Source organism: Homo sapiens, chromosome 5 (genome assembly GCF_000001405.40).
Source record: "Homo sapiens chromosome 5, GRCh38.p14 Primary Assembly".
Lineage (NCBI taxonomy): Eukaryota > Metazoa > Chordata > Mammalia > Primates > Hominidae > Homo > Homo sapiens.
In genome coordinates, this window is record NC_000005.10 from 171,850,273 (window position 1) to 171,866,814 (window position 16,542).

Genomic DNA, 16,542 nt, shown 5'->3' on the forward strand with positions numbered 1-16,542 from the left:
TAATGAGGAAATCAGAGCAAAGATTTGGAAAAATTCTTGTTTCTTGATAACACTGCTTAAGCACCTGGATCCAGCTGTGCCTAAAGTTAGCACTGTGTCGGACTCTTCAGTTACCACAGCCAAAAAATTCATTTTCTGGCTTAGACCATTTTGGATTGGGTTTTCTGTAACTTGCAACCAAGAAACTCAACAGATATACGAGCCTTAAGGATGAGTTACGAAAACACCCCAGGGGAGAGTTTCATTAGCTGGCACGTCTTATAGGCTCTCAGACCATGCTTTGAGCATGATAGCACTACTTCCTTCTTCCAAGAGTATGATAAAAATCCTTCCAAGAGTATTCCAAAAGCCTTGCACAGACTTTGGGTAATCTTCTCTTAAAGCAGTGGTTCTCAATGGGAGAGGGATTTTGTCCCCTAGAGGACACTTGGCAATGTCTGCCTACATTTTGGGTTGTCACAATGGGGAGGCAGGAGGGATGATACGTGCTACTGACATCTAGTGGGTAGAAGCCAGGGATGCCGCCAAATATCCTACAAGGCACAGGACAGACCCCACAAACAATGATCCCATCCAAATGTCAGTCGTGCTGAGGTTGAGAAACCCAGGAGAAGTGATACATCATCCCGTGTTCTACTCCTACCAGCCCCACCATACTTAAAGACGAAAACCAGGCCACTTAATGGGAGTATGGGAACTTTATATACCTCATGATGTTTTCTTAGGGTATGCAATGCTGTGATTCAAGCCCAGTTGAAAGAAAGACATTGCCCAAAGTTTACACACAGATATGCCTAATCCCCTCTGGGGTCTGCAGCCTCCCTGCTATCACCATAACAATCACAGCCCATAACTACTGGACGAACAGGAAGAGCAGGAAACCTCTCTGAAGATGGACAGTCTAACACATGCCTGCTCTCCCACACCCAGCAATAATGGATCCGACAAATAAGCAAATTATACGAATCCCACATAGCCAATAAAGGGGGAAGACAGCATTTCCTCTCTGTCTAGAGGACCATTTCTCAGTGTACTGCTCCTCAGAACACTAGTCCTGTGAGATACTCAAAGGGGAAAAAATAATGATTTCAAGGTCAAAAAGGTGTGGGAAACACGAAAGCCCCTGTTACCTTTGTGGATGGTAACAACATCCATGAACACATGAAAGGCTCTGATAAGTCCCTCAGCAAATAAACCTGCTTCCTTTTCTTTAACTTGCTATTTCCCAAACTCACTTGATCTCAGAATCCCTTTGCACTATAATACTTAATTAATATTCCACTGAACTATTGTCCCACAGGACACACATTGGGAAACATTGCAAGGGAACTACAAAGAAAATGAAATATAAGATATTAATGAGATGTAATAGCTGATCCAGGGAAACCAGGTGACGGTGGAAAGAGACCAACCGCTTTGGCAGGAGAACTGTGCCTTAAACTTCTCAGTATTGCTCATCCCAACCTCCCTGGGGCACCCACTTATTTATGGCTACTCCAAGAAAAGTATCCTGAGGGCCAACCAAGTGCCAGGCATTGGGCTACCTACTGGGATTTAAAGATAAGTCATGGGCTGGCCGTGGTGGCTCGTGCCTGTAATCCCAGCGTTTTGGGAGGCTGAGGCAGGAGGATGCTTTAGGCCAGGAGTTCAAGATCAGCTTGGGCAACACAGCGAGACCCCTTTCTCTACAAAAAATTAAAATATTAAAATTAAAAATAAAAAGAGATAAGTCAGACTCCAGTAGACACTGCGGTAATGAGTAGGAGTCAGAGACCTGGCTGCAGAGCTGATGATGTTGCTCTGTGAATCCAATGCCTTCCTGCTGAGCCCTCTCACTTCCAGGAGCCATGAAACACGGGCGCATTTGTCCCTTGGATCTCAGTCAGTTATACTGACCTTGTCAAAGCTTAGCAAGGAGCTGGGGTGGATGGGGAGGAGCAGAGCCTCCTGGCGGAGTTTGGGTCCTGATCTGTGAGTGATGGTGTCAGCCACACCTGAGTGCCCTCCTAAGGGAAACCATCCCATCAGGAGGCCCAGGGGGAGGGAAATGGCTTTAGGCTGCGCTTGAACAAGGAATGCCCCCTGATTGGTCAAAAGGGTCCCCTGAACTCAAGAGCAGCGCATCCATTGGCTGCTTGGTGACCTATGAGGACGCTGGAACAAAAAGCCCCACCCAGGAGTTTCAAGTCATGGAGCTGATCAGGCTCTGTCCCTTTGGATTTAAATAGGAAGAGACTGAGTGAATCAGCAAATTGGTGGCGGAGGAGAAGTTGCTCAAGAAACCAAAAGCTGACACTGGAGTGATGCAGCGAAGTTTTTGTGAACTCCGGCTACGGAGGGATCTGAGAGCTAAAAGCCTGCCCAAATTCCTGACCTCGTGGCACAACCAGGGCAGACCCCAGGCAGGTGGCCCACGGCCCTGGCTCTTATTCCGTGAGTCAGCACGGGAAACTTGGGGTTCGGCTGCTCCTCGAAGAGCCAGTGCCAGCTCAGCCTGACTTCGCCCAGGGAAAGGCACCGTTTTGGAACCCCACAGTCACCAAAAGTGGGACCTCAGTAGTAATGACAGTCCTGTCCAAATGCTGCTGGGATGGGTCTGGGCTTCAGCAGGAAGCCCCTTCGCCTCTGAGGGCACCTGTGGAGTCTAGGACCATTTGAACATCCCAGTTCCTTTCTTCCCAGTTCCTTTCATCCCATGTCTGCCATCGTGACACATTCTGGCTGAGATCACACCCAGAGGGTTGACAAGGCTGTCCCAGAAATCATGTGGTGGGCACCGCAGAAGCACAACAATGAACCTTGTTCCTGGAAAAATAAGGCCACGTGCTGTATCCAGAAGTTCTAGACAGGGCTGAATGGGGTTTGGGAGGTGGGGGTCAAGATGAGGAAGGTAATCAAGGTTATGTACTTGCCTGGGTAATGAAATTATGCCACCAAGGCTTACAGAAAGGGGGCCAGGGTCAACTTTGCTTTCCTGAATTCTGCTCTCCAACCAATAGAGTTACAGAGGGGGCAGCAGCCACAGGACCACATCTTTGGATACTCATGGACACCAAGATGGCAGGAGTAGACACTGGGGATGGCTAGACGGGGGGAGGGAGGGGATACGTGTTGAAAAACCACCTATTGGGTATGAGCTCAGTACCTGGGTGATGGGATCAGTCGTACCCCAAACCTCACCATTATGCAATATGCCCAGGTAACAAATCTGCACATGTGCCCCCGAATCCAAACTAAAAATTGAAATTCTTGAAAAAAGGGAACCATGTTGTATACCCCTTGAATTTCACTTGCAGTTTTAGAACCTAAGTCTCAGTGACTGCTGTCTCAGGGCATGAGGGTGAGAGCCAGTTTGGTGAGGCCACCAGTGGGTCCCACAGGCAGCAGAGGCCCAGAACTCCTCTACAGCTTTCCAGGAACCATGCATCTATCAGCAAGACTTGGGTTCAAATCCCACTGGGTTCACTGAGCCCCCATGTCCTGCTATACAGGCTCTTCCATTTAGTTATGTGTATGATCACAGTTGTTCTCCCCACAACAAAGCTTCCTCACACATAGTAAAGCTATGACAAAGGCTACATAGTAAAGCAGAACGGGGCCGGGCATGGTGGCTCATGCCTGTAATCCCAGCACTTTGGGAGGCCAAGGTGGGTGGATCACTTGAGGTCAGGAGTTCAAGGCCAGCCTGACCAACATGGTGAAACCTGGTCTCTACTAAAAATACACAGTTAGCTGGGCATGGTGGTGCACACCTATAATCCCAGCTACTTGGGAGGCTGAGGCAGGAGAATCGCTTGAACCTGGGAGGCGGAGTTTGCAGTGAGCCAAGATGGTGCCACTGCACTCCAGCCTGGACAACAAAAGTGAAACTCCATCTCAAAAAAAAAAAAAAAAAAAAAAGCGAATGGAATGAAACTTGCAGGCAATTTAAAATTTAGGATTTACCCTTTTCTTGTCTCCCTCTTCCTTCTCACTTCCCTATCCCTCCCAATAGTTAGTTTAAAAGCAGAATCATTTGCATGACTGAGTGCTTGCATGTAGACTTTTCTCTTTTTGCCCTTGGCCAGCTTGATGGTACTCAAACTCTCAATGGGTGCAGGAATCACTGCACTGGGTCCCATCCATACACACTGTGTACTGTATTGAAGCCACATTTTAAGGGTTTTTCAAGCATCTTGGACTCTATGGTTTTCCACCTGCAGTGCTCACTTTAGAATCTGAGCATCATGAAAGGGGAAACTCCACTGCATGCCCAAAGTTCTGGAATCCAGGAGTTTGTTCATTCAACACATCTGCGTTATTAGTACCTGCGACTGGGGCTGAAGACACAGAGAGGACCAAAACATGGGTCCTGGCATGGAAGAAATCAAAAGTCCTCCATAAACCCTGGCTGGGCTCACTTCATCTCACTGAATGCTCCGAGCAGGTCCGGGAGGGAGGACTGATTAGAAAGGAGCCGCGCCCTGTCCTTGGTCACCTTACCCCTGAAGAGCGTCGATGAGATTCAAACCCAAACTTTTCTGACCCCAAAGGCAGACTATTTTGACCCTTTCTGCTCGTGCACATTAAAAGCTAAAATACCAAAGAGAAAGTGAAAACGGCTCAAAAAGAGTTCAGGGGCTGAGGGCTTTTAGCTCCTGCTCTGTGGACCAGGGAGGAGGTGATATTTGAGCTAGGCCTTGACGAACATGCAAAAGTAGTCATTTCCCACAGGAAAAGGCGTGCCTAGTGGCAGCAGCAGGGGACACTGGCCAGCCTCCATTCCCCTTTTTGCTTGGACCCCAGAATCCTAATCCTCTGGGGATCTGCCTCCCTTCCATTCTCAGCCCGTGTGGTTTGTGTGGGGTCGACCCCAACCCTGACCACCAGGGATTATTTCCGTGGGTTTTAAGGGTGGGCACATGATTCTACCTGAGCCAAGGACACTTAGTCCCATGACTCTTTGGGGCTGCTGGGAAGAGATTTTGCTCCACCACAGATGCTCAAAGGATAGGACATGCTCTTGCGGCTGCTGGGAAGAGATTTTGCTCCACCAGAGACACTCAAAGGATAGGACATGCTCTTGGGGCTGCTGGCAGCCACCTGGATACCATGTGGAAGCAAGCCTGCTTTAGAATGAAACTGTGAGAAAGGAGAGCCAGACAGAGAGGCAAGGAGGTGAGGCCCAAGAGCTGATGACACAGTTGGAGCTCCTAGATCCAGCCATGCCTGCGACCAGCCCATTCCTTGGGTATGTGTGACACAAGCCAATAAACGCCCTTCTTTGCAGAAGCCAGTTGAATGGGACTTCTAGCCCTGGATCAATAGAGTGAGCAGAGTGGAGGGCTGGGAATACTGGTCTGAGAGGAGGAAGCAGCTGAGACTACATGGGTCATTGCTATTCAGTTGGGACTGCAGAAATCAAAATTATTTTTTAACCTCTTATTTATCACCTCTTATTGAACGTAATTTACAGAGGGGTTGGTCAGAAGCCAGGATAATAGAATTGTATGTGCCTTAGCAGATCTACTGTGGCTCATATTCTCATTTTGACGAGGAAACTGGGGCTCAAAGAGTCAAAGGATGTTACCCAACGTGTTGCAGACAGCAAGTCACCCTACTGAGAGCAGGATGCTAGAGAACAGCCCCGGGATAAGCCAGCTGGGATGTAGGGAGTGGGGGAGGACCTAGATATTGGGCTGAGGAGAAGGAAGTAGTGGGGAAGGCACCTGGCAAGATGCCTGGGCCGGGCAGGCGGCATGGATGGCCAGCCTCAGCGTCAGAAGGAGCAAGGTTCAGATCCTGGCTCTGCTGTTTTACTAGCGGAGCAATCTTGAAAGCCACTTCCTGTCTATGCCTCAATGCAATTGTTTATAAAATGTGGGCTCAGTTCTTCGTTTAACTACAATTTCTTGAGCTCTGTGATTACCACTTCCCAAAATGGTCTCTGAACAAGACAAACAAGGTCCTGGTACTTCAGGTGACATTTCTGGTAAGGAAAGTCAAGAAGCATGGCATTTGTTCCTCATCCGCCTTGCTGTGTCATAACGTAGGCTTCCTGGAGGCAGGGATATTTGTCCGTTTTGTCACGGCCTAGCTTAGCACCCAGCACATAGTAGGCCTTCAATAAATGTGTCTTGAATAAATACAAGTCAACAAATAAAGTAATGGTAAGTACTATAGAGTAAGTGGAACGCAGGATGCAATAGGGGGTAATGTGGGATAATTTAGATTGTCTGGTCAGAGAAGCCTCCTCTTTGGGGGCAGTACTTGGGCTGAGACCTGAATGATGAGGAAGCAGCCGTGCAAATAGCTGGGGAAATGCATGCAGTGCGTGCAAAGGCCCTGAGCTAGAAAAAAAGAACGGAAAGAAAGCTCATGTCGCTGGAGTGGGAGTGAGAGAGGAAAGCATGACATAAAATGGCATGGAAGCAGGGAAGGCTCAGATTACTGCAGACCATAACAAGGAGTTTGAACTTGATTCTAAGCACAGTGGCAGTCACTGGGGAGTACTGGGCAGGGGGGTGACATGCTCTGACATGTGCCCACTGTGTGCTAGATGGATTTCAGCAGGAAAGACCATAATGTATGTTACCCACAGCGTCTAGCACATAATAGGTGCTCAGTGTGCAAGATATCCGTCACTGCCCCAATGCCACATCCACATGGTTTGCCAACATCCAATCCAGGCCAAGAATCATGTTCTTATCCTGGGTTCAGCCTCCCTCCAGCTACCCTGTATACTGGGACAGTCCCAGGGAAGCCAACAGACTAAGCTTTGGGGAACATCCTCCTGTCTCCTTTTGGTTACGGTAACAACCCAGGAGAGACTATGGAGAGGCCGGGGGCGAAGGCGGGAGTGAGGCCTTCTGTTAAATGTTGAGTTGCTCCCAACATACTTTTCAGACATTCGTTCGCTTTGCCCAGTCTCCTCCGTAAGAGACATGCTTTCGGATGTGTTTTGAAAAATATTCCATATGCTAATGGAATGTCACCATCTGCCAAAGAAGGCAGAGCTGTTTTTAAAGGAAAAACTATTACAGAAATGAGGTATTCACAGAGGGGCACTAAAGAGCCCAAACGTCGCTGACCTGAGTCTGACCTGGGCTGCCTCGTGTTACCAACATGAAAAGGGAGTGAGAAAATCTGAGGCCAATTAACTTCTCTCCCTCTCTCTCTCTTTTTCTCCCCTTGCCCACCTCTCTCTCTCTCTCTCTCTCTCTCTCTCTCTCTCTCTCTCTCTCTTTTTTCCCCCTCCTCTTCTTGGAGACATGATGAAATTTCCTGAAACAAAAACTCGCAGCCCGTTCAATAAAATGCTTTCGCCTTTGGTGGAAAAAGCCCCGATGGTCCCTTTTATCTCTTCATTCCTGAGGCACAGACCTGGCCCCCGTCTGTTTGTGCAGATGGGCTGCAGGGAGCGTTCCCAAGGACAAGCCAGGCAAGGGCCGGAGTGGAGAAGCTATTCCCGGGCGCCTGTTTGTTATTGCTGCCAGAGCCCTGGCCGTTAGGAGAGTGTGGTGCTGTCTTGGAAGAAGTGTGAAGCGGGATTAGGTGTCCTGCGGTGTGATTAGTGGACAGGCATTGTTCCCCAGGAGGCCCAGGCAGCTTGGAGGCAAGTGTTTGCAAAAGAGAGTTTCCAAGTCCTGAGAGCGTCCACAGGCCCTGCAAAGACTGCTGGGTATCACGCTCCTGCCTCTCCCGCTGCTCCTTCCCACCTTTGTCACAGGCTTGTCCTCCCGTGCCCCTTTCCTAAATGCAGATGTTCCTCTGGGCTCTTTCTTCTGAAACCACCACTTCTCTCCTTCTCTTCTAGGCAGCCCAGGGGCTCCACTCAAACCTCTCTGGGGCCCCTCCAATGTCCACATCCAAATGCATCCCCCTTCCACCCCCCGGATCAACCCCAATTCCCTTATCTGGGAGAGCTGGACACCCCTGCAGCCCATTGCCCACTCCAGAAATCCCCACCTCAAGGCCTTGGCGTGTGTCCACGCCCGCAGCCTAGAACATCATCCTGTCCCAGCTCAGTGCATGACCAGCGCCTGCTTATTGAGATCTTGGATCCAACGTCCCCCAGGCCACACCTAACCACTGCCCAGTGTAACCTCTTCACGGCAATCAACACTATCTGAATTTATCTTGTAAATGCATGTTTGTGGACACTACAGCAATCACTGCGCACTGTTTCTTTCTTCTAGAACGGAAGCTTCCTGAGAGCAGGGACCTTGTGTCTTCTTCCATTATAGCCCCATCTAGTGGCACCCAGGAGACACGCACTGAATATGAATGCTGTTGTCAGCGCCTCCAGCTCCCTCCACACTAAGCCCCGTGGCTCCCAACACCCTCTCTCACCTCCTCATGTTCCCTATTCTGGACCTTAGCATCTCTCTCCTGAATCTTAACTCTAGCTTTCTAATTGGTCACTCCTGAGCCTAAAACCAGCCAGTGGTTGCCCCTGCCCCCAGGATGGAGCCCCCACCCCTCAGAATGGCCCACAGGGCCGGCCACAGTCGGGTCCCCCTGCACCTGTCCGGCCCCTTGCACTCCATCGCACTTTGTGCACTGTTGAAGACACACCAAGAACATATGCCAGGGACATATCAGTGGAGGGGAGAAGAGAAGGGCAGAGGGTCTGTGGGTGCCAAGGGACCACACAGTCTGAGCCTGGCTCTTCAGAGAGACTCTGCGGGCATCCAGGGGCCCACGGAGCATGAAGAGGGAGATGCTAGGGCAGCGCGCTAAGAGGCCAGCTGTGGCCCCCAAGGCAGACCAGAATCAACACTAAGTTCAGCCGCTCCCAAAGACAGATCCAAGCCTCAGTATCTTCAACCATAAAACGGTAAGAACATAAACCATGCAGGGCTACTGGAAGGATGAGAGTACACAAAGCCCTCACCAGCAGCCTGGCACCCACGAATCTTTATTTTTTATTCACTCACTTATCTTCATTCTTGCTGTAGCTGGCATGATCCAACCTCTTCCCCACCATCACCCACCACCTATACACACCCTGAAGGCATGAAATTTTCCCGTCCCCTCTGGAGACAATACAATTCACTGAGGACAGTGACATGTTTAGACCTCATTCTCTTCCCAGAAATACTAGCTGGGGATATGATAGGTTGACTACCTTTATAATTATTTGTAATAATAAAACTAACAAATATAACTCAGTATAAACCTATTCACTGGCCCATCTCCCTTTCTTCCACCCACTGAACAAACCAGGCCCTGATTACAAACTCAAGTCCTCATTGGGACCAGTCCTCAGGGTCAGCTCCTGTATTTCCCCTCAAGAGGTCCAGACAGGCTTCAGGTTTGCCTGAGCACGTTTATTTGACAGCACGACACCCCAGATTCCACTAACTCCTGTCCCTTCCTCCCCTCTGAGCATTCTGTTCCCTTTGTTTAAATGTCTAAGTTGAAGCTGCAAGGCACTGTGCTAGGCACTTTAGAGATGTCATTTCATCCCCATAGTAATCTTAAAACACTGTCTCTGCTCCCCAGCTGAGGAGTTTGGGTTCAGGATAATAAATGCCCTTGCCCGTGGGACCTGCTGCCAATTAGGTGGCAGGGCTCCAATCCTGAGCTAGATCTCTGGGCCCCAAAGCCCAGGCTCTTTCCTCTCTGCCATTCGGTAGAGAAGTGGCCCCCACAGGATGGTCTCAATGGTGTTCTAAGAACATCCCTCCCACTGGGCGTGATGGCTCAAGCCTGTAATCTCGGCAATTTGGGAGGCTGAGGCAGGAGGATCCCTTGAGTCCTAGAGTTCGAGGCTGCAGTGAGCTATGACTGCACCACTGCACTCCAACCTGGGCAACAGAGCTAGATGCTTAAAAAAATAATCCTTCCCAATCCCCTGCGTTGGTGGTATTTGGAAGTACAAACACAGCCTGCGAGAAATGGCAAAGTCCACTGGATCTGAAGGTGGTGGTGAAGGGTAGAGACAGCTTAAGTTGTACACACTGAGATCTCACCAGAACATCAAGTTTAAGCTGTTCCTAAATCTGTCCCCACTCAAGTCTTTGGCCTTGTAATTTCCAGGTTCTCCCAGGCCAGTCCAGTAATAACTCACATACTCTGAGCAATAAAATCAAACAATTCCTAGAGAAAGGATAAGCAGATGACCACAAAGCTGAAAATAATGTACAATCTCATTTATAGGATTCTACTTTCCAGTTTACCTGGCACGCACTAAGAAAAAGTTACTTATGACCTGCCCTACAAATCTTTCACATGGCTACACCTAACCAATATAATTTTTAAATTACTGAATTAGTGCATTTGGTGTATGGGGTCCGTCGTCCTATCTGTGGGCAGGTAAACACCTTGAGATGGCCATATACTCAGTCATCCCACAGATGCTGACTGAGTGCCTACAAAGTGTTGGATTCAGCTCTGTGCAACAAGCCAGCAGGAGCCCCAATATCTTAGCACTACAAGACAAGCTCCCAGAGTCTTCACCGGCTGGAAGAGCAAGCTGTGTATAGAAAAGAGGGTATCTATTGAAGGACATGAAAGAAACTGGTTAACCATCATTTGAGGGACTGGGGGTTAAGGGGGAGAGGAAAAATTACTTTTTACTCTTATCTTTTTGTGATTTGTAAATTGGTTCTCTTAACCACATGCATGACACATTTGAAAAACGTTTTCTACAAGAAAAACGGGTGGGAACAATTACATAGAAATACTCTAATCTCATGCAAAAAGTCCGCATTACCAACTGGGTTGACTAATGGGGGAAGTTTAGCCTAGCTATCAAAAAAACTCAGCTTCTACTCAGTCCTACTGAATAGAATTTCTGAGTAGAATCCTACAGATACTAACTCGACTTTTTCTGCTTCAATACTCTACCAGTGACACACTTGCACACACAAAACTATTCATTTCTGATGCTATGGTGGAGAGGGCTGCGAAACTGCCCCTCACACCTCCATGGCCCTTCTTCAAGAAGGGGAGGATCCACTCACACCTGAAAGCCACTTGGGATGTCTCAGAGGCCATTTTCATGTTGACAGTAACTTGTGAAGCAATTAATTATGTGTGGGAAGCAGATTTGCAGGGCAAGAGTTCTTAGCTAGCCCTCAGCTAACTCCTGAAGTTCAAGCTAGCTTTCGGCAAAAGCCCAAGACAAGGAATCATATCATCTACTACAACATTCTCACACGCCAAAACCAGTTTGCCTTCAAACTCATTTTACAGAACAGATGATTCTAAAGATCTATAAATTTTAATTGTATGTCACTGAATTCCTAACAGCACTTAACAGTTTCTTTGAAAAATTTCTTAACAGAACGTCAGAGTATTGCAACACTTTATTAAGAGTATTGGCTTTGAATCAGTAGCTGAAGTAACAATTGCATGAAGCCAGATTAGGTGCACTGCATAATACCCATACTCGATTTATTGACATTACTTAGCAATTTACTGGACAAAAGTCAAACTTTTTTGTTTTTTATTAAGCACATTCCACAGTACAAAGCTGTCATGAATAATATCTGTACAATTTAACAGTTTCAATAGCTGTTCAGACACAAATTTATTTCAAACAGATAATTGGCAAACATAATTAATTACAAGTTAGAATTAGACTATCCCAGTGCTTTAAAACATTAATATAGCAGTAATTTACATTTGCTCAGTTATGGTTAGCAAAATAAAGTCCAGAGTATGGCTGGGAATTACTATTATAATCCCAGAAAGTCAGAACTCCTTGGGTGCCAAAGTCCCCTGCTATAATTTAGTAGGCACAATTCAAAGGTTGTCTGCATATTCAAAGGCCATCATCTCCCAAGGAACGAGGGGAACTTCTATATTAAACATGCAAAAACAACAAAAAATCCATTCATTCATTCAGAATTGCCTCCTCCCCTGCCCCCTCCCTTCCCCCTGGGCTTTCCTAACCAGTTTGATATTGAAGCTGTAGGATGAAAAGTGGTCAAAGCTAAATCACTTTCACAACCACCATCAAGCTTACAACATCCACCTTATGAATGGAGGTTTATTGTTTACACTTTGAGACTCAACCTCTCAAAAACATAAATTAATTTAGTAACATGGGAAGGAAGGATTTTATTTTTAAAAGAAAAACTAAAAAAGCAAAGCCAACTCAATAAACAAATCACATACACACACACTGATCCCCACACCGTTCTCAATGCAAAGGACAAATCAGAGCCCAGGGCCTTCCCTTTAGTAGTAGAGTGTGCTTCCACGGGAAGAGGTTTACTTTATAGGAGGCTGTTTATTGGTCCTTTAAAATGTTATTGACATTCCTTGATCTTTGGAAACAATGGCGAAGGGCAAATCAAACCTAATATTGAATAAGGGAGAAGGAGTGCCAATTGGATGCCAACGTCCTTTCCATGCACTGTCAGGGCAACAGTGCCATTTACACATTTGGGCTGTGTCGTAGGGAGGACTTGGGAGCTTTGAGAACCTGCTGGGGCCACAGCAGCAGCTGACACCAGAGATGACTGGGGTGGCATTCATGGGCTTGAGGCTTCACTCCACTTCAGAGCACCCACCCCTCAGCATGGGCCTCTGAACCAGCCTGACCTGCCCTGCAGGCTCCAACACACCAGCAGGCCCTGCCAGAACCTTGGCAAGGCCAGGATGCATGAATTCCAGAGCCAAGACAGCCCGTCAACAGGGCCTTCTTATTTCCCCTTCCCAGGGCCACGACTGCACAGAATAATGATTTTTGACAGCGAAGCCAAATGAATACTATGGGAGGTGACCACTTGTACTCAGGAGTACTTATGAGAAAAAGAATAAGAACAAAAAATGTTTAAGGTACCTCTCTATTGTATAATATATACTCCACAACAAATAAAACATTTTGGTGTTAAACCTTAGAAATTACATTTTAAAACAAGATTCTCATTAAAAACACACACAAACCACACACACGCAATGACAACAACAAAATAAAAACACTGTATGAATACTGCAGGAAGGGTTCTAGGTAATCCACATCAACCCAGGTATCAGGTTCTTGAGCCCAGCCCATGGCTAAGTGCGAACACACTCTGTATTAGTGTCTCAAGCACAGGGGGCCCTGACTCCAGCAACTTTGAGGTTAAACTGTTATGTACATTATATCTACATGCGAATACAGTATTTTAAATTAGGAGGCAAGCACACGTATAAAGGTGTTACTCTACCAAATATCAGGAGATGGTTGGGGGACAGAGAACAGTTAATAAAAGAAAGAGCTATATTACCTGTTGGTAGATAATATAACTGACTTATAGTTCTTTAAATTAAAAGAAATTGGTACAGAAAGGAAGTATAATCCCAAAAATATTACTAAAACAATCCAGAGAAAATTTTCCACTGTCCAACATGTTCCTAATACAACAAGTCAGAATTCATAATGACTTGGACGGTCAAAAGGAGAATGCTAACTTTTGAAAATGAAAGCCCTGGACATTCTGGGTAGGTGTTTGGCACCCAAAATTTCACTGAAGAAGAATGCTGTTTCTTAATATCAAACCAAAGTGCAAAGCAATATAAATTAGAGGCCAAGTCTTCTCTTGACGGTCGATTTACTTCTGTAAAACAGATTCTATGTTCCTTTTCTATGAACAATTTACATTTGAAACATTAGATTTTTTCACTGATGAGGGAAGGAAACGGGCTTCTGTTCTACTTGAAGCCGGGGAAGCTAAGGTCTCCTTCTCAAAGGAGAGCCGGAATCAGAGGTGAGAAATGTCGGTACTTGAAGAGTTAGGCTGCTTTGCATCTACCCAGCGTCTAGAACCAATTCCAGCTTCATAACTCAGCTGTGAACGAACTCCCTTAGGCATTTGGTAGCCACGTAGCCAGTAGTTCAAGACTAGAAAACCCTGAGGAAAGAAAAACAGAAGCAAAGGGAGTGTGGGTGAACATTCCGTTTAGATGAGAATACACACACTCCACTCCACCCCCTGCACACAGCTACATGCAAAACTTATTAGCATTAACAGCAGAAGCTGTAAGTTGTTCTGAGTGTACTACATACCAGGTATCACATTTATTTCAACCTCACAACAATCCTGTGAGGAAGAAACTATTATGACACCTGCTTCACAAATAAGAGAACTAAGGCTCAGAAAGGCTAAGTGTTTGGTTCAAAGAGTCAACAAGTGACAGAGAGGGGATTCAAGGAGAGGGCTGACCCTATAACCTATCACTCTCTCAGTACTGCTCTGAAAAAGTACACATATAACAAAAGATGCTTCACATTCGATTTTATATTTAGCATAATCTTTTATGACATTCAGAACCTACAAGAGGCCAGTCTCACATCCTCACGAGAGCCCTCATCGATCACAAGGAAACAAAAATATGCAAAAATTAGCCTTTCTAAAATAGAATGCTAGTAATCAGAAATTACTTCCTTTTTAATAAGTAAATCATTGGTAAAACAACAACAGTATGGGGGAAAGGCCACTGAATGTTCCATAATTTTTTGACTATGGCTTTGAGTCTGAAACACATTTTAATCACAATTTCTACATTCATCATGTATGTAAATATGTACACACACACACAAAAAAACAATATTCATGAGAATACTGATATTCACAATATTTATCATTTTTACATACAATGCAGGCTGACATTTTCTATTCTAAATCAAAATAAAGTCAAAACCCACTCAGATACTGTCACAATAAGTGATGCACTAAACCACTGGCCAGAAAGTCTAAAGTCACCTTAGGTGGCAAAAAAAAAAAAAAAAGCAAGAGAGACTTTTTAAAGCTTGAATGCTTTTTTTAAAAGGTGATTTTCCCAGAAAGTTGTCAATTTACACAAAGATCAAGAATCTTAAGTCTTCTCAATGAATTTAAGATTCAATTTCATTTGCTACTGTTTTCCCATTAAGGATATTTAAGGGAACCTGAATTATTTCAAAAACATTAATGCCCCAGGACCAGAAGTGGACACTCTCAAATGCTGCTGAGGGGAGCATAAACTGACTGAACTCTTCTGGAGGGCAAAATGACCTACATACGCACATGTACCCTAGAACTTAAAGTATAATTAAAAAAAAAAAAAAAGTCTTCAAACGTGATACCTTTTAACCCAGACCCTCCAGACATTTCCAGAATCCCTCCAAAGATGATAAAGGGTTGGACAAATATTAGGTTAAAAGAATGATCATAGCATTGTTTTTTATAATCACTAAAAACTGGGGGTTGGGGAGGATAAATATGTAACAACAGAGCATATCCAAACAATCTAATATAATTTGGCAATTAGGAATAATTTGGACAAATACATTACTAACATGCAAGCATTTCACAATAAAGAAGAAAAACACATTTGAAAATGTACAGTTATAAAGCGTCATTTTAAAAAGCCTGAAAGGATCTATAAAAAGGAGTTAGTGGTAAACCACGAGCAGGAGTTTACTTTCTTCTTTTGGCTTATCTACTTTTTCAAATTTCCTAATAACGATCTTATATTGTCTTGTAGTAAGAAAAAACAATAAATTTTGAGCTACTGAATATATAATACAACATACAGCTCTTAGATGTTACTAATTTTTTTAAAAACGACTCCGCAGATAGATCTACTGCTGCATTTGCTGACATGGAGAGACTCTCACCTGATATTTTACGGGTGAGTATTTTACTGCAAGGTTAAATCATCATTAGGGTAGTGTTTCTTATTATGCATAAATCTTATGGTATCACATGGCTATAATTTTTTTCATGTTACAATAAATGAAAAGCATTTGGGGCCGCACGCGGTGGCTCACTCCTTTATTCCCAGCACTTCAGGAGTCTGAGGCGGGCAGATCAATTGAGGTCAGGAGTTCGAGACCAGCCTGGCCAACATGGTGAAACCCCATCTCCATTAAAAATACAAAAATCAGCTGGGTGTGATGGCACATGCCTGTAGCCCCAGCTACTTGCAAGGCTGAGGCAAGAGGATCACCCGAGCCTGGGAGGCGGAGGTTGCAGTGAGCCAAAATTGCACCACTGCACTCCAGCCTGGGTGACAGAGCAAGACATTGTCTCAAAGGGAAAAAAAAAAAAAAATTAGAAAAGAGCAGTAAAATCTATAAAGTTGACTGCCAAGGTTGTTAAAAGTAATAAAATTGAAGAGACAAACACATTTGTGGTCTCACTGCTTGTGCTGGGATACAGGGAACCTCCAGCTTAAGCAGATAAGATTTTTCCATTGACTTATAATTGATCACAACTAGGCAGTTGTTCTGAGGTTTCCAAAAAAGGTAGGTAGGAGGGAGGGCCTGGAGGAAGTAACACAAGTTTCCTTTCTACCACAGCCAATAAGAAACAGCATTGGTGATCACTGCTTCATCTCTCAACCAAAGGAATCTTGTTCAGGGCACTTTTAGGTAATATATAGATGTTGTCAGTTCATCTATTGTAATACACCAGAAAAAGAAAACCATAATATGGATGTCTTGAATTTTGCCATATGCCTCTTTAAGCAGTTTTTACTTGGGTCCATTCCTCCTTCCCTATATTTTCTTAGGCTTATTGGGAGGGGAGGTCAGGGGGAGGAGCAATCACTCAAGAGATCCTTGTCTCCTTCCTCTGTAAT

The 16,542-nt window shown here is 45.4% G+C and overlaps 1 protein-coding gene across 13 annotated transcripts in view; it reads right to left on the reverse strand.

The window, feature by feature from the left end:
• FBXW11 (F-box and WD repeat domain containing 11) overlaps positions 11,277-16,542 on the reverse strand; it is a 145,090-nt gene continuing 139,824 nt past the window's right edge. For 12 of the 13 annotated variants that reach the window (NM_033645.3, NM_033644.3, NM_001378975.1 and 9 more), the window contains one exon: positions 11,277-13,829. The gene's annotated coding sequence lies outside the window, so the exon portion shown is untranslated. The remainder of the gene's footprint in view (positions 13,830-16,542) is intronic. The other variant, NM_001378980.1, reaches the window with a different exon arrangement.